General features: G+C 42.8%; 2 protein-coding genes across 6 annotated transcripts in view, besides 7 other annotated features; one reads left to right on the forward strand and one right to left on the reverse strand.

Moving 5' to 3' along the window:
- The window catches only part of LONP2 (lon peptidase 2, peroxisomal), a 118704-nt gene extending 115275 nt beyond the window's left edge, over positions 1 to 3429 (forward strand). Inside the window, exons 17-18 of one of the 2 annotated variants that reach the window (XM_047434738.1) lie at positions 1903 to 2185; positions 2280 to 3022. In XM_047434738.1, the coding sequence (XP_047290694.1) occupies positions 1903 to 2022 (120 nt within the window). In that variant the 3' untranslated portion in view covers positions 2023 to 2185; positions 2280 to 3022. Of the gene's footprint in view, positions 1 to 1902 lie in introns of both variants that reach the window. The other variant, NM_001348078.2, reaches the window with a different exon arrangement.
- SIAH1 (siah E3 ubiquitin protein ligase 1) lies at positions 957 to 27672 on the reverse strand. Of its 4 annotated transcripts, none has more exons than XM_006721246.3 (2): positions 27480 to 27672; positions 957 to 2856 (listed from the first exon to the last, which is right to left on the reverse strand). In XM_006721246.3, the coding sequence occupies exon 2, from the start codon at positions 2852 to 2854 to the stop codon at positions 2006 to 2008; it is 849 nt and encodes a 282-aa protein (XP_006721309.1). In that variant the 5' UTR covers positions 2855 to 2856; positions 27480 to 27672; the 3' UTR covers positions 957 to 2005. The 4 variants fall into 4 exon arrangements, with proteins under 4 accessions (XP_006721309.1, NP_003022.3, XP_024306163.1 ...); NM_003031.4 differs by lacking the exon at positions 27480 to 27672 and adding an exon at positions 25630 to 25839; XM_024450395.2 differs by lacking the exon at positions 27480 to 27672 and adding an exon at positions 25202 to 25295.
- Positions 5941 to 6603: an enhancer, noted in NCBI's record as "H3K27ac hESC enhancer chr16:48399426-48400088 (GRCh37/hg19 assembly coordinates)". NCBI's record gives its function as "activates a minimal SCP1, AML or CMV promoter by ChIP-STARR-seq in naive H9 embryonic stem cells {active_cell/tissue: H9 hESC(naive)}" and the evidence as "EXISTENCE:reporter gene assay evidence [ECO:0000049][PMID:30033119]".
- Positions 5941 to 6740: a biological region, named in NCBI's record as "H3K27ac hESC enhancer GRCh37_chr16:48399426-48400088".
- Positions 6311 to 6740: a silencer, noted in NCBI's record as "silent region_7453". NCBI's record gives its function as "represses an Ori minimal core promoter by ATAC-STARR-seq in GM12878 lymphoblastoid cells {active_cell/tissue: GM12878}" and the evidence as "EXISTENCE:reporter gene assay evidence [ECO:0000049][PMID:35858748]".
- Positions 18228 to 18729: an enhancer, noted in NCBI's record as "H3K4me1 hESC enhancer chr16:48411713-48412214 (GRCh37/hg19 assembly coordinates)". NCBI's record gives its function as "activates a minimal SCP1, AML or CMV promoter by ChIP-STARR-seq in naive H9 embryonic stem cells {active_cell/tissue: H9 hESC(naive)}" and the evidence as "EXISTENCE:reporter gene assay evidence [ECO:0000049][PMID:30033119]".
- Positions 24918 to 25187: a silencer, noted in NCBI's record as "silent region_7454". NCBI's record gives its function as "represses an Ori minimal core promoter by ATAC-STARR-seq in GM12878 lymphoblastoid cells {active_cell/tissue: GM12878}" and the evidence as "EXISTENCE:reporter gene assay evidence [ECO:0000049][PMID:35858748]".
- Positions 25278 to 25347: a silencer, noted in NCBI's record as "silent region_7455". NCBI's record gives its function as "represses an Ori minimal core promoter by ATAC-STARR-seq in GM12878 lymphoblastoid cells {active_cell/tissue: GM12878}" and the evidence as "EXISTENCE:reporter gene assay evidence [ECO:0000049][PMID:35858748]".
- Positions 25448 to 26267: a silencer, noted in NCBI's record as "silent region_7456". NCBI's record gives its function as "represses an Ori minimal core promoter by ATAC-STARR-seq in GM12878 lymphoblastoid cells {active_cell/tissue: GM12878}" and the evidence as "EXISTENCE:reporter gene assay evidence [ECO:0000049][PMID:35858748]".

The following is a 27808-nucleotide window of genomic DNA, read 5'->3' on the forward strand; positions in this document are numbered from 1 at the left end:
GCATGGTGGCACGTGCCTGTAGTCCCAGCTACTCTGGAGGCTGAGGAAGGAGAATCGCTTAAACCCAGGAGGCCGAGGTTGCAGTGAGCCGAGATCACGCCACTGCACTCCAGCCTGGGTGACAAGAGTAAAACTCCGTCTCAAAAAAAAAAAGCTCCACAAGCACATTATAACCAGTTCAAAAGATATTTATGTAAGGAAGAGACTACACAATCATCTTTTCTGAAAATGGATAACAGAAATAAACTCTTATCCAAAATTATCCAGAATCAGTGGTGGGATAAGGGTGAAGCCCAAATTTTCATTGACTTTCTAGGCTTACAGTACCCATAAAAACCACACAAAATTCTCTTTCACCATTCAGAAGGCAATTTCAGAATCTTGCCATGTGCCTCAAAGTAATTAGCAACAGTTAACTACATGGTACTGAAGGCATAATGGTAGCTAACATTCGCTGGATGCTGATATGAGCAAAGCACTGTTTCAGGTAACATACCTGTACCCCATTTAAAGGTTTTAAGTATCTACCATAATTTAACCCCACTTTACACATTAGGAAACTGGGGCCCAAGGTCACACAGCTGGTTAGTGGGGTAGAGCCGAGACTGGCACTTAGGTGCCTGGAAGTCTGGTTGCAGAACCAAGGCTCTTAGCCACTAGGCTATGAAATAGTGAATTTATTATATCATTGTGCTTTTTTAAAGAGGTGAAAAGTGGTCAGCATTTTAGTCATTCTCCTGACAGTTGTAAGAATCAAAATGTGGGCAAGAGGGGCAGGGCATGGGAAAGACTAATCCAGAGGCCATATACCCAGTTATTTGCTGTGATTAGAGTTAAGTCTACCGCACTTAAAAATGACAACACACAGCTTTCTGCTATATAATTAAAGTATGGAATGAAACAGGAAAATAACTTCGGATTTTATCAAACTTAGAGCTAAAGCAGACACAGTAAGATTTTTTTAATTTGCCAGATATTCTTTTAATGAGAATTATAAAAGACCAAAAACATTTTTTGCAAACTGCCTTTTTAAACAAATGATTTGCTTTTAATTACAAATACTGTGCATGACGATGCCTTCTTCTGCAAAACCAATAAATACAAGAACAAATTTTAAAATATGTGATTTGTCCAAGATATCTGAAAAAGGAAACAAAAGCCTGATTTGCAGTATTTATAAAAATCAATTTATTCTCTAACCTTTCAAAGATTAAGCTCAAAGGTGTGACTCATCTGTAGAAGACAGAAAGAGAGCACCTTATAGATGCTTTAAATAGCTTTTGATTATTTTTCCGATGTCACCTTTACTTTCTGGAACTCATGGCTTCACAAAATAGCTGATTTTAAAATATTTCTAATGAACTGATTAATGGGGGAAAAGAAAATATTGAACACGTTATAAATTTTTTACCATAAACAAATATGCATATCAAAAGATACTAACTTTAAAATGGTACAAAAAAAGGAAAAACCTGAATTACAGAAAAGTCAAATTTATTTAATGAAAAACTAAAATTAATAAAAATTAGCAAATACACACAAAAAAAGCACACAGCAGCACTATGTATTGACTCACAAAGGGAAAAGCAGTGGCCCATGACCACTCAAGATGGCTTGTCAGTTAAAGGAAAAAAACCCAAACACGCACACACCCACGCAGGCACACACTCCCACGCAAAAACAAACTTTTTCAACAATACAATCAATCTACAACAAACACAAAACTCAGAATTATTTTACAATGCTTCCTTTCTTAATACAAAAGATGCCCATCTTGGGTGTATATACATATATTTTTTCAGTGGTTTACTGTTGACTTATTTTTAAATATATTAGTGTTACTACATGCAACTGTTTCCTGTATTTAACAGCCTTTCTTTTTATTTACCTTCATGTGTCTAGCTTCCACCTACCGAAAGAGTTTTAGGTTGGCAGACAGATGGGTGCCTTATTTTCTGTGAAACTGAAGTTTTAAACACTGGCCAGAAAATGTTTGATTGCCATTTCAACACATGGAAATAGTTACATTGATGCCTAAATTGCCATTTTCTGCAAAAAGCTGTGCAATGCTGGTGTCAAAGACTAGACAGTCGCTATTCATAATGGCTGTTGCAATTCCTTCATGAATAGATCGAGGAGTCGCTTCCCAAGTCAATCGTCGCCTATGACCATTTAGCTCAAGTCGGTAAGCAAAATTTTCAGCTTGCTTGCGTGTTCCTATCAGCTGTACGATTGCGAAGAACTGCTGGTGACCATCGTATTTTTCCTGTTTCTCTAAGACTAACATGAAGTGAAAGCCAAAACAGGACTGCATCATCACCCAGTCAACAGCACCAGGAAGATTAATGTCTGTAGCAAGAAAAACTATATCCTCTCCCTGTAGGGTTGTAATGGACTTATGCTGATGCATCAGATGGGGCATTACAGCATCCAGAGAGCCTTGCCATTTACAGGAAGCACCAGGGCACGGACAGGAATAAGGCCTAAACTCACAGAGCTCTTCATGGTCTGCTTTTTCTGTGTGTGGCAGAGTTATTTCACATCCAGAAGACGCATATTTACAGGGGAAAAGTACTGAATTAGCCACTTTCTCCATAGCCAAGTTGCGAATGGATCCCAAAGGGCCCCGGCAAGTTGGACAACATGTGAGCTTTGGGCGACAGTTGCTACAAACAAGATGGCCACTCTGACATTGAAGAATGGGCGGTAACACATAGTCAAAGCAGACTGGACACTCAAAAAGACTCGCCAAGTCATTGTTGGATGCAGTTGTGCCAGTCAGGGCAGGCACCCTCTGGGATGGTGGACACTTCGAGGTACCGGTAGGTAATGCTGTAGCAGTCTGACGGCTCATTTCTGAAATAAATACATAAGGAGGCAGGAGAAAAATAATTATAACCATGACTTACTTTATAAATAATGTTTACATGCCATAAGTCCTTTTAAAGTTTCATACAAAATTTACTGAGCAAAAGAGGAAGAAAAATAGGATTAAAAAAGATATTAAAAAAATAAAATTACACTGAATGTGCACTTTATTAGGATCTGTACACTGGATAAGCTCTCTTTTCAAAATGTTCCGGAAAACATGTGGAACTCCCTTAATCGTCTTTGGATAGACTACATAGAATAATAAATGCTAAAATAGAAAATGGACCATAAACAACTAAAGAAACTATACAAGGAACTGAAGTTTAATCGAATCCGTTTTGCTAGGACTCTCCCTGAGGCTCCCTTACTCTATTTCTTTCTAATTTGGAGTCAGCTGTTGATAGGTACAGGGAGTTACAGGTGAACTCCTGTATAAAATCGGCACTCTGTATCCACACGGTCTGCATCCGAGGACTTCACCAGCCATGGATTGAAAATATTCAGAAAAATTTATAAAGAATACAAAATTTTTAAAATACAGTCTATAACAACTATTTACATATTGTTTACATTGTATTAAGTAATCCAGAGATCACTTAAATTATACAAGAGAATATGCACATACAAATATGACACCATTTTCTATCAGGGACTTGAGCATCCTCAGGTTTTGGTATGGAGAAGGGGGTCCTAGAACTAATCCGAGGATACCGCGGATTGAATGTAGTTCCAATGCCAAAGAATCAGAGTATCACCTTCCATTAACTCTTCTTAATGGTAAGCAATTATCTACTCTAGAGGTGTATTTTGGAAATGAGGGGAAGGGTCACAAGGGGAAAGGTCTGCTGCCATCCCATTATCCATCTCTATCTAATTAAGTCTTCCCCCCAAATTATCACCAGCCAGGTATTAATCTTATTTCCTACTGATCAGTGCCCACCTCAAGAGTGAGGGGATGTACTCGCTAGTGAAGGTGGCGAAAATATAAAAATAAATAAAAACACAACTAAGGTGAAGTGAGGCATGGGAGAAATGGAGGGCCATCTCAAAACTTTTTAGTCTGGTAGAGAAAGTATATCTTTCTGTTCTACTTTCAATCCACAATATGTGTCAGACATAATGAACAAAGGAGGACAGTCAGGAAGAGACAATGAAAAAGGAAAGAATAAAGATGATAGCACGGCAGAGATATATGCCATACTGGGGGTGGGGGATGGAGTCAACAGGTGAAGAACCCCTTGCAGCCTAGGGTTCTCCAGCGTTGCTGAAAACATTCATCAGCAGAGTAATAAACATTATTTAACAGGTAAATATCATCTGGAAGAAATAATCGACAATGTAACTAGCCAGGCTGAGTCAAAGATAAAACAAGCAACTTTTCCCAGGAAGCTACCTGGGCTGGAAAATGGCAGGCCACTATTTGTCTTGGGGGTGAAAAAAAAGATCAGTCAATGTCCTAAGACTGCACTCCTAGTAACTCTACTAAGCCATAATCTTTTTTTTTTTTTTTTTTTTTTTTTTTTGAGATGGAGTTTTGCTCGTTGCCCAGGCTGGAGTGCAATGGCGCGATCTCGGCTCACTGCAACCTCTGCCTCCCAGGTTCAAGCAATTCTCCTGCCTCAGCCTCCCAAGTAGCTGGGATTACAGGGGCCCGCCACCATGCCCGACTAATTTTTGTATTTTTAGTAGAGACGGGGTTTCACCATGGCTGGTCTCGAACTCCTGACCTCGTGATCCACCCGCCTCGGCCTCCCAAAGTGCTGGGATTACAGGCATGAGCCACTGCGCCCGGCCACTAATCCATATTACAAAATTAAAGCCTCAAAATTAATGTTTTATCTCAATTATAGTCATTCTGTTGCAAGGAACTTTTAAGAAGCAATGTTGGTTACCAATGTGACCAAATAAATGCAACTTAGGTTTAGATTACCCAAGTGGTTACCAACTGATAGCTTAAATGAGGGCTGAGGGTGACGGAAAAAATAAAGATTAATTCCACGTCACTAAACGGGTATTTTAAAGTTCCAGAGGCAACAAAAGTGACAATTCCATCGTAATGTGTCTCATCATATGGACTCAGAACATGAATCAACTCTCAATCTGAAGCCCAGTGTGACCCAGGTATTCTGTCCCCTGACAAAGGACTATAAGGGAGCTCTCCTGTAATCCAGTTTCCCTCTCAGTAGATTCTTTGTACATATGACATCCATTTTATGTCACTTGTAAAACAGTGGGCTCAGCATTGCCAAAACACCCTGGCTGTATGCTGTATGCCTACTGCATGGTCCAGTTTACTTCAGTAAGCAGCGTAACAATTACAAAGTGGTTCCTTGGGCAAAAAACAGTCTAGTCAACCAATGCCTTTCAAATTACTAAATCAAACCAAAGAATCACATCCAAGGGCAGTAAACTCAGTTTATATTTAACACAATATAGCTACGGACCAAGCAAAACACTGTTGTTCACAATTTCTTGACCTAGCAATAGTTATACATTTATCAACAACAGTTCGGGCTCACATTACAATATATCTTTGCCATTTTCCAAACACTACAGAAAGCACATTTTAACTCCTATTCAAAGTGTGAAAAAGAAGCGAAATGTGAACGGTATTTCTTGGGAACGGAGGTATTACAGGACAGCAACTGCTAAAGCCTCTCAAAGCTCCAAGGGTGGAACCCAGCTCCATCTTGAAACAGAAAAGGAATCCCAACCACACAGGCGCCCTGCAGTAGGAACCAAGGACAGCCCTGCAGAAGTCATGACGTAACCTGAAGTTTGATTTAAACAGAAAAAAGAACAGCAGCCCAAATGAAACATGACTGAGAACCTCGGAAACGTCTCGATTCTGCTGCAGCCATTCCCTAAGCCAGGCAGGTTCCACTGACTAATAGCGTTCAAGTTTCACAGCCTCAGCAAACCATCCTCTTAATGTCAATACCTTTTCTCTTCCTTGTCCTGGCCGCTGGTAAACATGTGAACAAGACTCCCCTCCAGGAGTACAGAGAAGGTGGAGTAGCCTTTCCCGTCATGAGAAGTCAGGCCACGCATTGCGTTTCCCCCAAGAAGTAAAGGAACAGGCCCCTCCTGGGCTCTTTCTGCTCCTAAGCACAGAAGACCCAAATTCGCGTCTGAGGTCAGGATCCAAATACCATTTACTTCTCAGAAGCACCAGTTACAGAGGTGGAGAAAGGAAGCCTTTCCATCCCCAGGAGGCAACCACACCTCCCTGTGAGCTCAAATTCGACTGCATCTCCAAAAATGGGAGCCACAGCTGCGCTGTCCTCCAATGTGCCCTAAGCTTTCGTCTGTCTCCCAAGTTTGTTTTCTCCAGATTCACTGGGTAGGGTCCTGCCCAGCTCCAGTGGAGGCCACGGATGCAGGGGGCGACGCGCTGGCTGAGAAGGAAGTGCGCTCCCTGAGCCAGCTCAAGAGTTACTGCAGGAGCCTGCCTGCCGGGAGAGCCATTTGGAGCCTCGGCCGGGGCTGGGCCTGCGTTGGGAACGCCTACTCCAACCCGGGGCGCCAGGGCCAGTTCAGGGCGCGCGGCGCACAGGGCGATGCCCGTCTTGCTCGCGCAAGGGTGGGGCCGTGCCCGCAAGCCCCGCCCCCCAGCCAAAGGCCGGGGGCGTGGGGGAGCCCCCGCCACCCCGCCGTTGACCCCATCCCACCCCAGCGACATCGAACCTTCCTCAGCATTTCCACCAGTTTAAAATTAGGTGGAACCACGCTATTTTCGGTAGGTCAGAACAGTCGAATATCGGCAGTTTCTTATGGTTTCGATCTAAGAGCTACAGCGTATCTGGGAAATGCGTGGCCACACTGGCGCTACGCTCCAGGTTTATCGTGCGAACTCTAAATTTTTAGAGTGAAAACATTCTCCCTAATTCATTCAACGGCTATTTACCGGGCATCAACTACCATATTTCCTCAATTCTAGCTCACTTCATTTCTACTCCTATCAGCACTATATTTTAAACTCTCCTTACCCACTGTGAAAAGACTTTGCAGGAAAAGTAGTAAGCACACTTCTGCCACATTAAACTCCTACTTAAACCTCCTAAGAGATTATACTCTCTTCCCACTCTGGGAAAGCCATCTTAAATGGCCTCATTAAACGCAGAGTAGCTTGTTTTGTTTTTAAACAAGCACTACCCTTGCCCCAATAAAGTCCTGCGCCTCAGATTTGCATTGCATCAGCTAGTGCGTGCAGAGGTTTAACCTGTCATTACATCATGCTTAGGGCAGCCTCAAAATGCAGCAAGAGTTGGCAGTGAGGAGTGAACCCAATGCAAGGAATTGCAGATTACCCACTTTCAGCAGGAAATTTTAACTCTAACCACTTCCTCACTCTATTAAGTGTGTTCAATCACCTCAACCTCGTTTTACAATACAGGCTACACAAAACAGCATTAGGAAAAGAAATATAATTGAAAATAGACACAGTCAGCCCCACAACTACTTTTTTTCCTTTTTTTTGAGACAGGGTCTCACTCTGTTGCCCAGGTCTGAGTGCAGTGGCACAATCTCCACTCACCGCAGCCTCGGTCTTCTGGGCTCGAGCAATCCTCCCACCTCAATCTCCCCAGTAGCTAAGACCACAGGCTGGCACCACCACTCTCGTTAATTTTCTTTGTAAAGATAGGGAGTCCCCATGTTGCCCAGGCTGGTCTCGAACTCCTGGGCTAAAGCCATCAGCCTGCCTTGGCCTCCCAAAGTGCTGAGCCACTGTGCCCAGTCTATATTTTTATTTTCTAATATTTTTTCATTCGACAGGTCTTAAATTTCCCTAGAGAAGAAAATTTCATATAGAGAAACTCTTCCAAACAGAACCAAAATGTATACAACAAAAAGATGACTGATTATTTCTCAAGCAAAAGATATTTCACTGTTTACCAAACTCCAAAAGATCTGTACAGAGCCTTACAGCACACTCTGAAAACCACTGATCTATGGACAGGCCCCTCTACTTAATTAAGTCAGAAAAGTGGAAGCATTCTAGAGTCATCTACACTTGGATTCAGACCCCGGCTCCACCAGTTGTTGAGCTGTAAAACTGGACTGTTTCCAGCCTCAACTGGCTTTTGTCTAGATTGAGATGGGTAATTTATGTGTATCATGGATGGTACATATTCCAGAATATTTAAGTTTTCAGCTGAGACCTGATTTAATTGCCAAGTCATCAATTAGTCACAGACTCAGAATTTGTAGATTCCAAGAAACACACTCCAAAAGATGCCTTAACCTTGCAAAGGTGATCAAACATGTCTGCCAAGAATCAACCACCATTTAATTTTTAGCACAATAAACCTTAATTCTCAACTAGGTAGAATATTTACACTAGTTTTACAAAAAGCTGAAAAGTTCACAGAAGTACCTTAAGACAAGCCCATAGAATCCAAAACTGGCAAAAATCCAAAACTTAGCAAGAATGCACTATTACCTACACTTTCTAAAGCCTACGTCCCAAGCCCAGTTTGGTATATAGTTTAAGTAGATGTCAATCTAAACAAAAACATTTTAGAATCAGCCTTTAATGTTGTCTTAGTAATTTCAGAGCATTCAGCCATTGCTTTACCACCTTAGCATACTTAACAGTAGAAAGATAAACTTTTATTCTCAATTCCACGTGGTAATCTTTGTTTCCTTTTATAAATTACTTATAAAAGTTTAAAATGGAGAAATGTAGTCAGATATGGAAAAAAATCATAATATATTGTAAATGAAGTTACAAATAGAACACAGACGTGAGGGACGGGGTGAGAAACCAAGAGGGCTACAACATCAGACCAATGAATCAGTTACCTATATGAGGATACTGGTGATTTTTAGCTGTATTTTCTCCAAAGGGGACAATAAACTGCTTTATAAAGATTAGTCTGATTAACAACTGTGAAAACAGTCAAAATGAGCAAAAAGTAAAACATGTTTATTCTTAATTTAGTAAAAAACAACAACAACAAAAAACAGCTGGGCGTGGTGGCTCACGCCTGTAATCACAGCACTTTGGGAGGCCAAGGCAGGTGGATCACCTGAGGTCAGGAGTTCAAGACCATCCTGGCCAACATGGTGATACTTTGTCTCTACTAAGTAAATACAAAAATTAGCCGGGCATGGTGGCGTGTGCCTGTAATCCCAGCTACTTGGGAGGCTGAGGCAGAAGAATCACTTGAACCTGGGAGGCGGAGGCTGCAGTGAGCCAAGATCGACTTGAACCCAGGAGGCGGAGGCTGCAGTGAGCCAAGATCGTGCCACTGCATGCACTCCAGCCTGGGCGACAGAGCAAGATTCCATCTCAAAAAAAAAAGAAAGGGTAGGATGCAATTATCACTACCCCATCTCTAGTAAAACAAAAATTATTCTTAGAAACAATAAAATATAAAATAAAATTATAGGTATCAGATTACAAATTTGCTCTTTCCATTAGAAATCTTAATTAAATAAAACTCCTCCATTCAAAACACTTAAGGCTTTTCTTGTTCCCAGAATGCCTTTAGGTTAAAAGGGTATTTTCCAAACTCATTTGACATTGTGGCAGGTATTATGTAGAAAATGTTTTACGTTAAAATGTTAATTAAACATTGCTTCTATTTGAAGACTTACTTGCTTCTTACACAATGACAAAATCAAAGCAAGTCTCTTAAAAATTCAACAAGTTAAAATGCCAAAAGTTAAAAAATCAAACACTGTTATAAGGACAATAAATTAAACAATCTATAGCTTCCAGAACTGTAGCAAAGCAATAAAATGATTTCTTAAAAATTGTATGTTTTTCCTAAAACCTCCATTTTTCCTGAAGATAATTCTGAAAACTTTGCAGCTACAGAAGAAGTTACACTGAATAGGTATAGAAAGATTGATTACTGGAGATGAGGGAAACCCAGGAAAGCTGCTGTCAACAGAAGACAAAGAGGAAAGGCAAATCCCGACTTAAATGTGTTCAAAGCAAAATACAACACTTGCTAAGTCACTTTATTTTGAGGCTTCCACCCAAGCTAAACATTAGATATACATGGAGTTTGGTGGCTCATACCTGTAATCCCAGCACTTTGGGAGGCTGAGGTGGGAGGATCACTTGAGCCCAAGAGTTTGAGACAAGCCTAGGCAATATACTGAGACCTCATCTCCACAAAAAAAATACAAAAAAATTAGCTGGGTGTGGTGGCATCCGCTGTAGAGCCAGCTATTTGGGAGGCTGAGGTGGGAGGCTCATCTGAGCCTGGGATGTAAAGGCTGCAATGAGCTATGTCTGTGCAACAGAGTGAGACCCTGTCTGGGAAAGAATAAATAAAGTGTAAGATCCCCCTAAAACAATGCAAGCCCTTCAACATGCCAATAGTAAAACTTTCCCTTTCCCACTAGGCACAATAAAGATTGTACTAAGCTCCTAACTTTGTCAAAGCAATTAATCAAACCTAACTACACCTGAATCCTTAATTTTGTGGTGTGATCACAATACTTCAAAGAAAGTTTCTGAAAGGATTACGTAAGTGATTAACTCTCCATCTTAGTCTAAGTCTGAAGCTCTTGCATAAATTCCACAGCTTACAATCCTGGTCACAACTCTCTTCTCTAAGAACTAAGTAAGCTATGCCCACTGTCTTCTGCTATTCAATGATGTAAGTGAAAGAAAAGCCTAATGCCATTTTCATTCTCAACCCTTTGCAGATAACCTTCTGATATGCTAAAGCATTTTCCAAAATATATAGGTATCCTCAATCTCCAGCAAGCCAACAGAGACTGATGGCAAGAATGGCCACTCCCTTCCCTTTCCCTTAAGTAGGAAGAGCCACATAAATTCTTATTACATTACTCTTGTAACTCCTTAACCCCTCTATATAAATTTTCATGCTTAATTTTCTCGTCTTTCCTTGGACCTTGGTTGTTGGTTTTGGTCTTGCTGCTAGTCTCAACGGGTTCCAGAGTCAGCAAGCTAAACACAGTTCTTCATTAATGAAGAACTGCCCCAAACACATATTAAGCACCTACTAAGTGCCAGGTAGACTCAATGGTTTACATATGTTCTCATTTAACCTTTCCAATGACCAAAGTTAGACATTTATCCCCACCTTACTTAAGAAAATAGATTTCGGCTGGGCGCGGTGGCTCGTGCCTGTAATCCCAGCACTTTGGGAGGCTGAGGTGGGCGGATCATGAGGTCAGGTTATCGAGACTACAGTGAAACCCCGTCTCTACTAAAAATACAAAAAATTAGCCAGGCGCGGTGGCGGGCGCCTGTAGTCCCAGCTATTCGGGAGACTGAGGCAGGAGAATGGCGTGAATCCGGGAGGCGGAGCTCGAAGTGAGCCCAGATCACGACACTGCCCTCCAGCCTGGGCGACAGAGCAAGACTCCATCTCAAAAAAAAAAAAAACAAATTTCAAGGACAGGCATGGTGACTCACACCTGTAATCCCAACAACTTTGGGAAGCCAAGGCTGGCGGGATCGCTTGAGGTCAGGAGTTTGAGATCAGCCTGGCCAACGTGGTAAAAAGTTGTCTCTACTAAAAATACAAAAATTAGCTGGGTGTGGTGGCAGGTGCCTGTAATCCCAGCTACTACGGAAGCTGAGGCATAAGAATCGCTTGAACCCGGGAGGGGGAGGTTGCAGTGAGCCAAGATCGTGCCATTGCACTCCAGTCTGGGCAACAAGAGTGAAATTCCATCTCAAAAAAAAAAAAAAAAAAAGTAAGAGCAAGCTGGCACATGCCTGTAGTCTCAGCTACTCAAGAGGCTGAAGAGGGAGGATCAGGTGAGCCCAAGAGGCTGTACTGCACCATGATTGTGTCTGTGAATAGCTACTGCACTCCAGCCTGGGCAATACAGTGCCTTGAAATAAATACGAGCACAGCCAGATGTTTTGTTGTCTCTAATCTCATCTTCTTTTGAATAACCCTAAAAAAATCATGTATGTTCTCCTTACTTACCCTGGTATGGAATATTTAATTTGGCATTCAAAACATCTTTTCCATATTTACAAAAATGTGTCAAGAAAATAAACTTCCTAAAGTCTTTAAATTAAACCTTTACTTTCCATCAAAGTGATAGAATCACATATTCTAAGTCTGCCATTAAGTCATTAGATATGAAATCAAAGCAAAGTATGTATCATGGAGAGGAAAGAGCAGAGAAGAGCAACAGAACCAGGCAGAGGGCCAAACAGGCTTTTTCAACTTTTTATTTCATACCACACATTACTAAAATTTTTAAATAACCTTAAAACTTTTTAGCAACACACTTGAAATTAAAATTATTGAAACATCAGTCTTGATTACAAACTAATCTGCAATATAACCAAGTCTCAGTGTCTATATAAAAACATTCAAATACTATTTACCTAGTTATCTGAATACAGCCATTTACTACCTTATGTTTTATATTCTCTCAGGATACAAAATTCTCACATTCCAGTGCAAGCTTGCTCTTTTACTCCATCTTGGCATTTAAGCTGTGCTTTTTAAAACCTTACTTATAAAATTCATGGTACCTAGTTCTACACTCTACCATATAATTCATTCAACTTCACATTACATCTGACAAATCTGGTAGGTAAGTATGTATACACACACACACACACAGAGAAAAAAATTTTACAGCAGATCAAAATTAGCAGTAATCTATATTTGGGATACTAAACTAAGCATAAAAGAGCATATTGCTAGGAAGACTAAAGAAATTAAAGAAACAGGGTAAAAAGTCACATTAGTGAGTCTGATATATTTTGATTGATGGCTCTTTACTAGTAAAATAGAAAAAAGTAATGGAATTTATAGGAAAGAAATGCCATCTTTTAAAAAATCATGGAGCCTTATTAAAATTCAATTATATTCAGCTGAAATAGTTACAATCTATGTTGACATAAGCAGTACCACCTGAAACTCCAGGCAAACCATTTTAGTTATTTCAACTAAGGATGTAACAGAAGAATTAACCTATATTAATTTCCCTCAAACTAAGATTCTGTTCACAAGGAGTTCACATTTCTCTAAAAATTTAATATTTTACTTTCATGTTTTTAATAGTCTAAAAAACAGTATCAACACATTCTGAATCATCTGAATACACCTGTTAGCCATGTAATTAAATGCCTCTATTCATATTTATGGCCACACTGGCTCTAAGTTGGTCCTATTTTCTCTACGCAAGCTAGAGAAAAGCTGAGGTCGATCTAATAACATAAATAATTCATTTGTGTGAAGCAAAGCCTAAATGCCATCATGGTTTCCACTAAAGCACTTGTATGTCAGTGAAAAAATTAAGATTTCATACGACCACATGATACAGGGCAATTAAGGTATGCTTAACTCAAAAAGAACCTGCCCGGTAACAGTCAATTTCATAACCGTAAGTCAATCCCATAAGTGCAGTTTTAAGACTAAAATTCAGCCTGACAGTATCCAATATTTTAGTGAATCAGTAATTTGAATTTCAATGGTTCTGTGGTTTTGTTTGTATTTAAATTGCAAGTTTTGAACTGTCAGCAACACCTAACAGAGTTGACGGATCACTGGGCTCCTGCCTAATAAACTCTGTTCACCGACTTCACATACTCTTGGTTTTCCTATCTCAGTCACTCCTCAGCTTCCTTTTATTCCTGCTCTTCTCCCCCAAATTATTGAAATTGTAGCTGCCTATAAATTACTGTAATCTCTTCCAAACCAGTCTCTCTGTTTCCATCCTTGTCTCCCACCCTTACACCCTAAGATGTTCTTTTCTTATGTACACTGGTACTTTGGTGATCTCATTCAGTCTCCTAGTTTTAAATTCCATCAACATGCTAAGGATTTCAAAATTTTCATCTCCAGCCCAGATTTTAAAAATAAACACAATGCTCCAGATTTGTCTGAAACCCCAGATTTGTAAATCCAATTGCCCCTTCAGGGGGATGGCCAAAGAGAAACTCCTTATCACCTCCCAAAGTCTCTCCACTCAGAGTCTTCCTTTTTTCAATTAATAGAGACTCCATCCTTCCAGTGACTCAGGTCAAGCGCCTTCGAGTCAGCCTTGATTCTTCTCTTTCACAACATACATCTAAAACAGTCAGGAAATCTTATTATACCTCCCTTCAAAATGTATTCAGAATCCAACCATTCCTCCCTACCTCTACCACTACCATCTAGTCCAAGCCACCAGTATCTCTCATCTGGATTACCACAATATCCTCCCAACCAGTCTCATTGTTCCCAGCTATGTCTCCCACCCTCACCACCTAATATGTTCTGAGCACAGCAATTAGATTAATTAATCCAGCTCCGTTTTATATCAGATGACATAAATCTCTGCTCTACACCCTCCGCTGGCTACCCATGTTAGAGTAAAAGCTGAAATCCTAAAAATAGCCCACAAGGGGCCATTATGTATAAGGATACAGTATGGTGCTGTGTTCCCATTACTCTCTGACTTCATCTCCTACTTTGTTCCCCTTTACTCACTGCACTGACTTCCTTGTTCAATGGCAATGCTAGGTTGCTCCTTTGGGCCTGTGTCTTAAAATACTTTTCTCCTGAATATCCATGTGGCTAACTCCCTAACTTTCAAATCTTTACTTGTTACATTCAATGACACTCACTCAGACCCTCTATTTAAAATAGTAAGCGGCACCCTGCCCACTGCCCCTCTGTGTACTCCTAAATCTTTGGCCCATCTCACGCCTCCTACTCTTTTCCCAGCAAAGAATGTATTATCTTCTAACAGACTACATAATTCACTTATTATTTTTTATTTGTTGTTATAGGCGCCCACTGTCCTCAATTGGAAGGTAGGATTTTTGTCTGGCTCAATTATGTATCCCAAAAACTTAATACAGTGCCTGGCACATAGTACAGACTCCAATAAATATTTTTTGGATGAATAAATACATCAGAAAACAAGAACTTTGGACTTTCAGGCAGCAACATCCAAAGTCAGAAAGCAACAGAACAATGCTTTTAAAATTCTCAAAGAAAATTATGCCCTAGAATTCTATACCCAACTATCTCGAAAGTGTTGAGGGCAGAATGATGATGCAGTTTCAAAATACTACCTCCCCTGGATATGTTCTTAGGAAGCTCCTGGAAGATAAGCTCTTCAAATACAAGGGAAATAACCAAGAAAAAGAACGGGGTTACAATAAACAGAAGACTGCATCTAGGAGAAAGGTAAAGAAACTACTGAAGATAATGACAACTTTATGCTAGAAGAGGGCAACTGAAGGCATCCAAACAACCTGATGGAACATTTAGACAAGCGGCAAGGAATGTGAGGTAGCATTAGCAGTAAGCACAGAAGAAAACAAAGCCAAAATAGGAAGGAAGAAAAAAGATATTACCTACAAAAATAAAAACTAAAAAATGCAGAGAAAGAAGTAATCAGTTTATTACATGGCTCAAACTGAATAACTTTGACAGTCAGGATAAGCAAATAAAAAACTGCAGTGTTACTAACTAAATTAGGAATGTAGGAATGAGAAGGGTATGCACATGTGATGGGGGCAAGAAGAGTTAAAGTCACAAACGGAAATCAACAAAGAAAGCCAAAAACTGAAATCTAGAAACAATAGAGGCGTGTTATTTAAAGACAAAGATAAATGCAAAAATAATCAGCTAAAAGAGGTCAAAGTGGTGGCTACGGCAAGATAATTACTTGAACCCGGGCACGGAGGTTGCAGTGAGCCAAGATGGTGCCACTGAACTCCAGCTAGGGCGACACAGTGAGACTCTAAAAAGTCTATCCTCTAATGTTGGCAAAGGAGTGAGTGTGTATGGATGCCTGTTTGTAATAGTAAACTGAAAACAGCCCTATCCTAAGAAAGTGGTTAAATTATGGTCCACACAACAGAATACTGTGTGCTGCCTTCTTTAAATAAAATGGACTCATACATCAGACTTACTAACATGTAAGAATCAACTGTTTAAACGGGGTGGGGGGAGAGAGGCGAGGAGCAGTAGCTCACGCCTGTAATCCCAGCAACTTTGGGAGGCTGAGACAGGTGGATCACTTGAGGTCAGGAGTTGGAGACCAGCCTGGCCAACATGGTGAAACTGTTTCTACTAAAAATACAAAAATTATCCAGGCATGGTGGTGGGCACCTGTAATCCCAGCTACTAGGGAGGCTGAGGCAAGAGAATTGCTTGAACGCAGGAGTTAGAGGGTATAGTGAGATGAGATCAGGCCAACTGCACTCCAGCCCGGGCGACAGAGCGAGACTCCGTCTCAAAAAAAAACAAAAAACAAAAAACAAATTGGGGGGAGAAAAAAAGCTACAGAATATACAGATTACAATTTCATTTAGGTTAAAAGAAAAAAATAGGTAAGTATAATAGATATGCACATTGATGTATATATTTTCATGTATGTATGCATGTATGTAGCATGTAATGAAACAGAAAAGAAACTGGAAGGACATCCAAACTGCAGAATGTAGTTTAATGGTTTAAGATGCAGGATCAGACAAAGGGAGAGCAAGCCTGGAATTAGAAACCAGAGAGAGATGGGACCACTGAACTACAGGCACACAAAGCATCAAGAACTCCAAGAAACAGAGACTGTCGGCACAAATTCCATCGTTTGAAATTACAGTACACAGTTCAAACATATATAGTTCTTAGAGATGATAATCATGAGAACTACAAGAATTTAGGTCAGATCAAAGAAACTAACTTTAAAATATCTTTGGCTGAGTAAAACAAAAAAATGTGAAGCACACCCAGACTACACCAAAATGTCTATGATGGTTACTTTTTAGTAATCAGATTATAAATAATAGTTTGGGGGTGAGGAGGGATTTCGGTATCTCTCCAATGTTTCATAAAATTATTGGCAACAAAAAATATTACACTTAAAAATTTTAATGCACATTTTATCATATCTCCACATTTTCTGTTAATGAATTGCTAGTAACTTCTACAGAACATCAAATACAGAATTCAAGAGCTGATTTTCTCCTTGCTTTCACTTTTTTTCTCAAAATTCCTCAAATAGATGGATACTTACAGGAAACTTAAAACCAGCCTATTCACAAAAAACTACATATTTTGTAGACATTTTATTTTATACTATAAAAAAAAATCTTATTTATTTTTTCTTGAGACAGAGTCTCGCTCTGTCGCCCAGGCTGGAGTGCAGTGGTGCAATCTCAGCTCACTGCAACCTCCACCTCCCAGGTTCAAGCAATTCTCCCGTCTCAGCCTCCCAAGTAGCTGGGATTACTGGCGCCCGGCACTACACCCGGCTGAAAATATCTTAAACATTTTAAAAGTTAACAAAATTTATGATAGCCCCCCTCCCCTCACAAACTCAAAAGAATACAGTCTGCAAAAATTAACTAACGTCTGTATAGACAAGATATCCGAAGTTGTTCTAATAAAGCTAAATCAGGGCCCTTGACAAGTTTTTAGAAGTAAAGCTACCTTACCCAACAAGCCTGAGTTCTGGCCAAATTCAAAAGGGCAAAATTTAATGTGAAATACAAAGGAAGGAAACCAGGAAGAAGTTTTTAACAGGGAGAGGATTACTTCATTTTGTCAAATAAATTATTGAAGTAATCTTTCCAAGGTAGAGTCTTTGCAGAGAAGCTAGTATACACTTATATTTACTGTATCAACCATCACTAGACCAAGGTGGTCGATGTGACACTAATAAATAACTATACCAAGTACGCTGAAATATTTTCTACAAAATTCAAGACTGGCATTAAACTCCTTAAGAAAATATTTCTCACTGGCAAGATCTGTTTTATAAATATAATTAGTTCTCCAAAGGTTTTTCTCTTTCTAGTTTATTCCATGTGCCCGGACTCCCTGTTCAAAACAAAAACGAATAAGCAAAAAAAACCAAAAACAAAACAAAACAAAAAAAACAAGTCAGTTCAAACATGACTGGGCAACCACAAACCTAATGGAAGGTTTCTGCCAGCTTTATTCTGGTCATATCTTGTCTGTAACATTAAACCTAAAGTTCTGGAAGACTTTTTTTTTTTTTTTTTTTGAGACAGAGTCTTGTTCTGTTGCCCAGGCTGGGTGCAGTGGCACCATCTCGGCTCACTGCAACCTACACCTCCCGGGTTAAGTGATTCTCCTGCCTCAGCCTCCGAGTAGCTGGAATTACAGGGGGATGACACCATGCCCAGCTAATTTTTTTATTTTTAGTAGAGACAAGGACAGGGCTTCACCATGTTGGCCAGGCTAGTCTTGAACTCCTGACCTCAAGTGATCCACCAGCCTCGGCCTCCCCAAAGTGCTGGGATTACAGGCGTGAGCCGCCACGCTGAGCCTCCTGAAGATTTAAGGAAAAAAAAAATCGTTCTAGAAATACTGGTCAGAAAGTATTTGAGATGGTCAGGGAAAAGAATAAGACTTAAAAAACAAAAGAAGGGCCAGGTGTGGCAGCTCACACCTGTAATCCCAACAATCTGGGAGGCCGAGGCGGCAGGATTGCTAAAGCCTTTGAGTTTGAGACCAGCCTGGACAACATAGTGAGATCTCGTCTCTAATAAAAATAAAAATTATAATAAAATAAAATAAGAAGTACTGGGACACATGGCTATTCAGCTGGTAACTTTGTCATGGATAAGCAAATAATACTCCTTAATCACACAAAAAAACATAATGTTGAGTGAAAGAAGCCAAACAGAAATGAAAGAGTACAGGCCGGGCGCAGTGGCTCACGCCTGTAATCCTAGCACTTTGGGAGGCCAAGGCAGGCAGATCACCTGAGGTTGGGAGTTCAAGACCAGCCTGACCAACATGGAGAAACCCCATCTCTACTAAAAACACAAAAAATTAGCCAAGTGTGGTGGTGCATGCCTGTAATCCCAGCTACTCGAGAGGCTGAGGCAGGAGAATCGCTTGAACCCGGGAGGTGGAGGTTGCCGTGAGCCAAGACTGTGCCATTGCACTCCAGCCTGGGCAACAAGAGTGAAACTTTGTCACAAAACAACAACAACAACAACAAAAGAATGAAAGAGTACAAACTCTACTGTTCCATTCATATAAGGCACAAAATTAGGCAAAATAAATCTATGGTGTAAAAAGTCAAGAGGTGGTTTCCTGTGAAGGGGGCGGCTCCTTGTTTCTTCGATCTGGGAGGTGGTTACAATAGCGTTCCTTTTGTGAAAATGTCAAGCTGTACACATGATTTGAGCACTTTTTCCATATGTATTTAGGCTAAATGTCAACAAAATAGTTTACATTTAGAAAATAAAAGTCCTAATATTGCTCTAGGTATTCTCCTAGAATCTCCTTGAACAACAGCCAGATGCTAATATCAGCTAACACTTCACAGCATCTCTCCTCTCTTTCCCTCTGCACAGTTCTTCAACCTGTCTCTCTCTACTACCCATTTGCTCCAGCAACACTCCTCAGGTCCTAGAGCAGTCCAAATTCATCCCTACTTCATGGGGCCTTTATCTGGCTGCATCTTCCATCTAAGATGTACTCCTTCCCCCTTCAAAGGGCGAGCTCCTTATCCTTGGACACCAGGTCTCCCTTCCACCCCACTGGTCTCTTCAGCACTTTGACTCCTTTACAGTACACTTCACAATTTGTAATTCTGTTTCTTTCTTTCCTCACTAGAAGGTAAGTGGTAATATTTAGAGAAGTAACTTACTCAACAACTAATCTTTTTACAACACTTGCTGTGTTAGGCAATGTGCTTTTAGATGCAAAGTAGGCAGTGTCTCTGCTCTCATGGAACTTAAAGTCACAAACACAACTAATAAGTGATAGAGCCAAGAGACACATCCAGATCTGACTCTTAAGGGCTTGTCCTCTTAGCCACTTAATTATACTGACACTCTAGCATTAGGACATGGGGGCTGGGGGGGCGAGGGGAAGGCAGGGAACAGCAATATACTTAATAACTGTTCATGTACTAATAGAACTAAGGCTTAGAGAGGTTCAGTAATCTACCCAAAGTAGCACAAATAGACATTTCAGAGGCTAAATACAATCATGACCAAAGGCACAGAGATGCTAAAGCAGTGTTCAAGGAACAAAAGAACCCAGTTGGCCTAGGTAGGGCAAAGGGGAAACACAGGCAATAAGGCTAGAGAAGTTTGTAAGAAACACTATGCCTTGGTAAAAACAAAACACAACGAAAAGGCTAGAAGAGTTTAATAAGGACAGTGTGGAGTCAGTCGCTCAATAACTTTTTACTGAGCACCACCTATGTTCCAGAAAGAGTCCTAAACTCTTGAGACACAAGGATGACCAAGTCGTCATAGAGATTACAGTCTATCTGGGGAGGCATACAACTAAAGAAAAATTATAATTCAGGAGGATATGTTACAGTGGGACCGAGCAGAGTGCTATGGGAACACAGAGATGACATCCAATTCAATGTGCAGAGTTCACAAAGAGCTTCTCAGCTAGTGATGTCCAGGCTGAGATAAGAGAGCTTAATAGGATGAGAGGGGCTTGCAAGTAAAGTCCAAAATGGCAGGGGAGTAACAAGAGAGGCCAGCTCAGGAGAGGCTATGTACTTACGAACCATATCAAGAACTTAGAACTTTACACTGAAAGCCTTTTAAGTCAGGTTCACCTATTAGAAAGCTCACTTAAACTGCAGTAGGAAAACTGACTGTAAGGCTGGAGACCAAAAGGAGATCTCTTAAAGGTAGAAGGAAATGAATGTAAATGTGAAGAAGAGAGGCAATGCCAGCTTTGAGATAGAGAACAGAAAAAATATCTGCAAAAGACGTATCTAAAAAAGAACTGTTATCCAAAATATGCAAACCTGGCCGAACACGGTGGCTCACGCCTGTAATCCCAGCACTTTGGGAGGCTGAGGCAGGCAGATCACTTGAGGCCAGGAGTTCACCAGGCTGGCCAACATGGCGAAACCCCGTCTCTACTAAATATACAAAAATTAGCCGAGCACGGTGGGCTCGTTCCTCTAATCTCAGCTACTCAGGAGCTACTCAGCAGGCTGAGCACGAGAACAACTGCTTGAGCCTGGGAGGCGGAGGTTGCAGTTAGCTGAGTTGGCGCCACCGCACTCCAGTCTGGACAAGAGTAAGACTCTGTCTCCAAAAAAACAAACAAAAAAAAAACAAAAACTCACCAATAACAAAACAACCCAACCTAAAAAAAAGAGTCAAAAAGACCTTAACTAACTCCCCACCAAAGAGATATACAGATAACAACTAGCATATGAAATGATGCTCCACATCACATGTCATCACGGAAATGCAAATTTAAAACAGTAAGATACCACTACAGGCCAGGCGCAGTGGCCCACGCCTGTAATCCCACCACTTTGGGAGGCCGAGGTGGGCGAATCACTTGAGGTCAGGAGTTCGAGACTGACCTGGCCAGCATGGCAAAACCCCGTCTCTACTAAAAGTAAAAAGAAAAATTAGCCGGGCGTGGTGGTGTATGCCTCTAATCCCAGCTACTCAGGAGGCTGAGGCAGGAGAAATCACTTGAACCTGGGATGTGGAGGTTGCAATGAGCCGAGATCACGCCATTGCACTCCAGCCTGGGCGACAGAGTGAGACTCCGTCTCAAAAAAAAAAAAAAAAAGAACGGCTAAAATCCAGAACAGTGGTAGCTCCAAATCCGGCCGAGGATACAGAGCAACAGGAACGCTCATTCATTGCTTGTAGGAATGCAAAATGGTACAGCCAATCTGGAAGACAGTTTGGCAATTTCTTACAAAACTAAAGATACTCTTCACTTTGGGAGGCTAAGACAGGCAGATCACCTGAGGTCAGGAGATCAAGACCAGCCTGGCCGACATGTTGAAACCCTGCCTCTACTAAAAATCCAAAAATTAGCTGGGCGTCATGGCAGGCGCCTGTAATCCCAGCTACTCAGGAGACTGAGGCACGAGAATCACTTGAACCCAGGAGGTGGAAGTTGCAGTGAGCTGAGATTGTGCCACTGTACTCCACCCCAGGGCACAGAGTGAGACTGTCTCAAAAAAACAGCAGCAAAACAACTAAACTCTTACTATCTGATCCAGCAATCACATTCCTTGGCATTTACCCAAAGGAGTTACAAACTCATGGCCACACAAAAACCTGCAAATGGACGTTTACAGCAGCTTTATTCAGAATTGCCAAGACTTCGAAGCCAACCAAGACATCCTTCAGTAGGTGAATGGATAAACCAACTGTGGTACATCTAGACAACAGATTATTATGCAGCCCTAAAGAAATGAATTACCAAGCCATAAAGACGTGGAGGAAACCTAAATGCATATTACTAAGTGAAAGAAGCCAATGTGAAAAGGCTACATATTTTAAAAGCCCAGTTACACATATGACATTCTGGAAAAGGCAAAACTATGGTGACAATAAAAGAAAGAAGATAAGTGGTTGGGGGTGTGGGGACAAATAGGTGGAAGTCAGAGGATTTCTAGGGTGGTGAAAGCATTCATGTATGTCATTATGTATTTGTCTAAACCCATAAAATGTACGCCACTATAATCTTTGGGTAATAATGGTGTGTCAATGTAGGTTCCTCAATTGTAACAAACGTACCACTTTGGCGGGGAATGTTGATAATGGAGGAGGTTACACGTGTAGGGGCAGGGGCTACACGCGAAATCTCTTGTCTCTTCTACTCAAGTTGCTATGAACCTAATGCTGCTCTAAAAAATAAAGTCAATTAAAAAAATCTGCATAAGGGGATATATGGGTCTACATCTCAGCAGGCAAAAAGATTGGAGGCCAGGCACAGCAGCTCACACCTGTAATCTCAGCACTTTGGGAGTCCGAGGTGGGCGGATTACTTGAGCCCAGGAGTTTGTGACCAGCCTAGGCAAGATGGCGAGACCTGACCTGGTCTCTACAAAATAACTTTTTAAAAAATTAGCCCAGTGTGATGGCACATGCTCCTAGTCCCAGCCACTTATGAGGCTAAGGTGGGGGGAACCTTTGAGCCCAGTTGGAGGCCACAATAAGCTATGACATCACCACTGCACTCCAGCCTGGGCAACATAGCAAGACTATCTCAAAAAAAAATAAAAATAAAAATAAAGATCTGAATGTCATTAGAATACGCACAGTAGTAGGTGAGTAAACAAATACCTACTGAGCACTAGGTACTGAGGATATATATTAAAAACACAATTCTTGCCCTTATGCAGCAGATATTCTAGTAACTATAGCCATGGGAACTAAATCATTTAAAGTGCATTAGACATCCTGCTATTTTGAAGAATACTATTAAGGATACTTATTGTAAAAAGGAAAATTTCCTTTTTTGGCGGGGGGATGGAAGGTTCTGGGGATTTCATACAGATTTTGTTGAAAGAGAGGGCTGTACAAAAAATATCTAGATTTTAACATTTCACAAAGCGAATATGGAAATTCCACAAAATTCTGTTAATAAATCTCTTTAAACAAAGAACCTCCAATCTTTAAAAATTTTGTAAATCAACTGCTTAAAAATACAATTTAAGCAGTCACCTAAAACTCTGTAAATTACTAAACTTTGTTACCCTAGTTATGTAAGATCTGTTTTCAAAACACCATACTCACTGAAAATCCTATTTGTTATTTTATGTCATTACTGACATAGCTAGATAATTCCTTCATAACTCCAATTTAACCTAATCATGCTTTTTAATTACAGATATTAAGAAAGAATATTTCTCTACAGCAATTTCGTAAGAACTTCCCGAAGCTTAGAGGGAATAGATTAATATTTAACAGATGTAAAATGCATTAACATTGTTTCTGAATTTGTACTTTGTGGAATACTTATCCTGAAAAGTTATCAGTTTCACATCTATTATACGTATTTCAGTTTAAAATATTAAATGTTAGTAAATTATGTTGGAAAGATGCCAATAACGAAAAAAAAACTGTTTGGCATAAACTTTGGGGAACAAATTCTGGATATAATCGCAACTAACCATCCAAGATTACAGAAATCTGTATCTTTATTTAAATTTTCAGAATGAAACACTACACAACCAATTTGTGTAATCTACTTTGAGTCTCAAGATCTACCAGTCTAAAGTCCTCCTAACAACTAATTAAAATCCTCTCCACCATAATTTGAGCCAACAACTCCCAGATAAAATTACCAGACCATTACATTTGCCACCACACTACATTCTGCTCTTCAGTAACTTCTAAAAGTGATGGTAACACCATAGATACACACTCAAGTATTCACTGTCCCACTTTTCTAAGTTGGTTAACTCAAGTCCTTGAAAGTGAACTGATCAATAAATCTAAACTAGCTAAGAGAAGACCTCATTTTAATCAATTTGATTTTTTTTAATCACAAAGATATAGCCATTCAAATCCCCGGCCACAGCAATTTCCAAAATGCCACCATCTCAGAAAGTCTGTTAATTTATCATACAAATCTCCTTGTCCTTTTTAACAACAAAATGCATTGAAAGAAAAAACCCAGCACTAAAGATCTGTGACCTGATTTCACAAATTCTGGTCTATGCACTTTCATCATACCAACACATCATGCCAAGAAAACCTCGTAAGTTTAGCTATTAAACTACAGTCTTAACAGTAAGCATTTGTTGAGAACTTAGTATGGGGCTGCCACTGCTTTCAGTCCACCTATTGTCATCTCATCAATTCTCAACAGGGCTTGAGGTAGATACTGTCGTTACACCCATTTTGCAGATAAGGAAAGCGAAGCACAGAGAAGTATCTGCCCAAGGTCACAAACCAGTGGAGCAGGATTTGACCCAAAGCAGACAGTCGGACTTCACAGCCCGTGCTCTCAACATCCAACTGCTGAAGAGTTAACAATTTACCCTTGACAGCCGCTATAAGCAAAGGTAAATGCTCAACTGCTAGGAAGGGACAGTCAGAACACCGTCCCATATCCAGTATCCATGTCTCTCTGTTTGTTTATGGCCTCTATGACTTTGGCAAAAGAAGTACACACAATCTGATTTTCCGAACACCCAAGCTGGACTTTTCTGAATGTCCGAGCAAACAAATTATGTATCTTTCCAGGAACGGGCAGACAGCGAAAACGAACCTACGCATCGGAGTGGCCCAGGTTATTCACTTTAAGTTATAAATTTGGGAGAGTTAAGAAAGGACCCCAAACTACCCGGCAAATGAACCCTAGGAAATGCCAGGTTTATAATAAGCTAGAGCTTCCCCGGCACGCCGTTCACGCGCTCTCCTCTCTAACGACATAAACAAGGGAGGAGGCTGCATTCTTCCCACTGCACAATGAAGCCTCCGGCCGAAGCGGCAGGAAGAGCGCAGCCCCGTCCCGGACGGCTCCAGCCGGGGGTCGGGGGCAGAGAGCGGAGGCCGAGGCCCGCCGAGCGGCGCGGTGCGGCCCGGGCCTCCGGGCGCCGCGGGGAGGAGGGGGAGGGAGGGCAGGGCCCCGGCAGCTGCCCGCACTCAGCTGACCTCCGCCATGTTGGCCGCACACCCCGGGACCCTCCACAACAAAGGCCGGCACGAGGGCGCGGGGCGCGCCGGGCGCCACCCCCGGCCGGGCCCGCCTCCCGGGCGCGCGGGGGCCGGGCCGCCGCCGAGGCCCTTCCCCCGCCCTCGGCCCGGCCGCGCGGGGCCGACCCCCGCCGCCACCCCGCCGGGCCCGGGGCTCCAGGGGCGGGGGCGAGCCGGCTTGCGAAGGCTGAAGGCAGGGGAGGGGCGGGGGGCGGCGCTCGACCGGGCGGCCCGACTCCGGCCGAGACAAAGGCGCCGCCGCGCCGACTACTGCCCGCGCCCCGGCCGGGCCGCCCTTCCCGCCCTCCGCCATTACCGGGCCTGGGCGCCCGCCTGTCGGAGAGCCCCTCGCCGCCGGCTCCTCCCTCAGGCCGGGCCCCACTTACCTGTGGGCGGAGAGCGCGCCTCGGACCCCGGTCCTGGCACCAACGCGCTCCGTCGCCAACCCCCGCCACCGCGGGCAGCGCCACCGCCTCTTCCCGGCGCCGAGACCGACGGGACACCCTGGGCCGCCGCCGCCTCTCGAGAGCGCGCCCCGCAACGGCCGCCCCGGCTCCCCCCTGGCCGCCGCCGCCGCCGCCGTTTCGCGCGTCCTCGAGCCCGCCGCGCGCCCCCGCTAAATACCACACACTGCGGCGGCGGCCATGAGGAGGCGCGGCCCCGCGCGCTGGGAGCCTGGGGGGGCGGGGCTTTCGCGGGCGCGCAGGCGCACAGGCGTTGGCGCGGCCGGCGGCGGCCTCCGCGGGCGTAGCTGTGCGGGTCTCCAAAGGCGGCAGTAGGTGCGGGGGCTACTCGGCTACCGTTGCTGCGCCCGTGCACCGCGCATTCAACGGATCCTGGCACGTGGCGCTCTGGCCCGCGAGAAGCTAGCGCTTGCCCGTCGGCTCAGGGCAGCTCCTCCCGCGGCGCTTTGTTCCGGGGCCGCGTGACCCCCCCGGCTCCGGCCGGAGGGGTCGCCCAGCGGGATGCGAGCCCCAGGCTGGCCGCCGCCGCGGCCTTGTGCCCTCCCCCTTGTTTTGTCTGCTGATTTAGCCCAGCGCCTCCACGGATCCTTCCCAACTCCACTCAGTCCCAAAGAAAAAGCGGCTGCCCTGCCCGCCGACCGGGACCCCACCCCTAAAGAGAGTCCCAGCCTCTCCCGAGGTTGAGCCGCTCCTCAGCAACAGCGGGACGAGCTTCAAAAGCTTGTTTCAGCTGAAAAGTGGGTAATGGGGAAGCACGCGTTTTCCTGTGTCCATGCTCATCTGGAAAGTCCCTAATTAGGGACTCTGCATTCCACTTCTTGAAATAATAAAAGGAAAACATCACTTGCAATTCTTTGATGGGTGCTATGAGCAGAAGCAAGCATCTGAGACATTTACAAGCCCTAACTGGAATTCCATGTAAGATCTATTAAAATGGTATTCCGTCCGGACGCGGTGGCTCACGCCTGTAATCCCAGCACTTAGGGAGGCCGAGGCCGATGGATTACCTGAGGTCAGGAGTTCGAGAGTAGCCTGGCCAACATGGTGAAACCCTATCTCTACTAAAAATACAAAAATTAGCCGGGCGTGGTGGTGCACGCCTGTAGTCCCAGCTACTCGGAGGCTGAGGCAGGAGAATCGCTTGAACCCGGGAGGCAGAGGTTGCAGTGAGGCAGAGATCAGGCCATTGCACTCCAGCCTGGACAACAGAGCGAGACTCTGTCTCAAAAAAATAAAAATAAAAATAGAAAAATCCCATACCGGGCACGTATGTACAAATTCCCAGTGTATGATAAAGTTTATATGTGCAAAACACTAGTTTACAGTATTCCTAATTACATGATTTAAACTGCAATTTTACTTTCACATTTTTGGGGAGAAGTTATAGCTCCTCAGTACACGGGAAGGTCAATAGAGTTCGGTTCACTTCAGTTTAGAGGTAAATTTTCCATTTTTACAGACTATGTGCTTGGCATAGCCATGTGGCCTTGACCTGGTCGTGAAGGGCAGAGGAGTTCTGTCCTGGGCGAGGAGCAGCTCTGGGGTGAGATGTGTTTCTCGCCCCCAGAACCCCTGGGCCGCTCTGCAAGCAGTGAAATGGATACGGACTAAGAGAGAACTTGCCAACGTGGCGATTAAAGTTCTAAACACCCGGCTTTGCCAAAGTCAGATTTTGTCCTCCTTATCCCGCATCCCTTCCTCTACCCAACAGCATTTGTCCATCTGAAAATAACAGTCTGTCTCTGGCCCACTGCTGACAGTCGAGGACTTACCTTATAAACTAGTGGATTCTCTTAAACTGCAGGGGTGCCCAGGACACAGTGTCCCCTGAGGATGCCGCACACCAGTCTTGAAGTGCTGGATCGTTGACGTCAGGCACCCAGAAGCAACTTCTGCCTCTGGAATTCTCAAACGTGCTTTTCTTGGCTTAGTTTGTGCCTGCTCTCCTCTAGAAGAGTCCAAGTTACTTCTTACTTTCCCCACTTCCCTTTTATACAAAACAAATTTAATCGGGTTAATTCCATCTCTGAGAATTCCTACCTAGATTTGGGCGGGGCTCAATCTGATTTGGTTAATTCTGGGTGGTAGCTATGGGTGGGAC

Source organism: Homo sapiens, chromosome 16, assembly GCF_000001405.40.
Source record: "Homo sapiens chromosome 16, GRCh38.p14 Primary Assembly".
NCBI classification, from domain to species: domain Eukaryota; kingdom Metazoa; phylum Chordata; class Mammalia; order Primates; family Hominidae; genus Homo; species Homo sapiens.

Bases quoted from the DNA above. Each gene is read 5' to 3' on its own strand.
- SIAH1 (NM_001006610.2), bottom strand. From the start codon at position 5,903: ATGACGGGAAAGGCTACTCCACCTTCTCTGTACTCCTGGAGGGGAGTC. The intron at 2,857-5,812 runs GTATTGACATTA...TATTTATTTCAG, and splicing joins CAGGACAAGGAAGAGAAAAG to AAATGAGCCGTCAGACTGCT.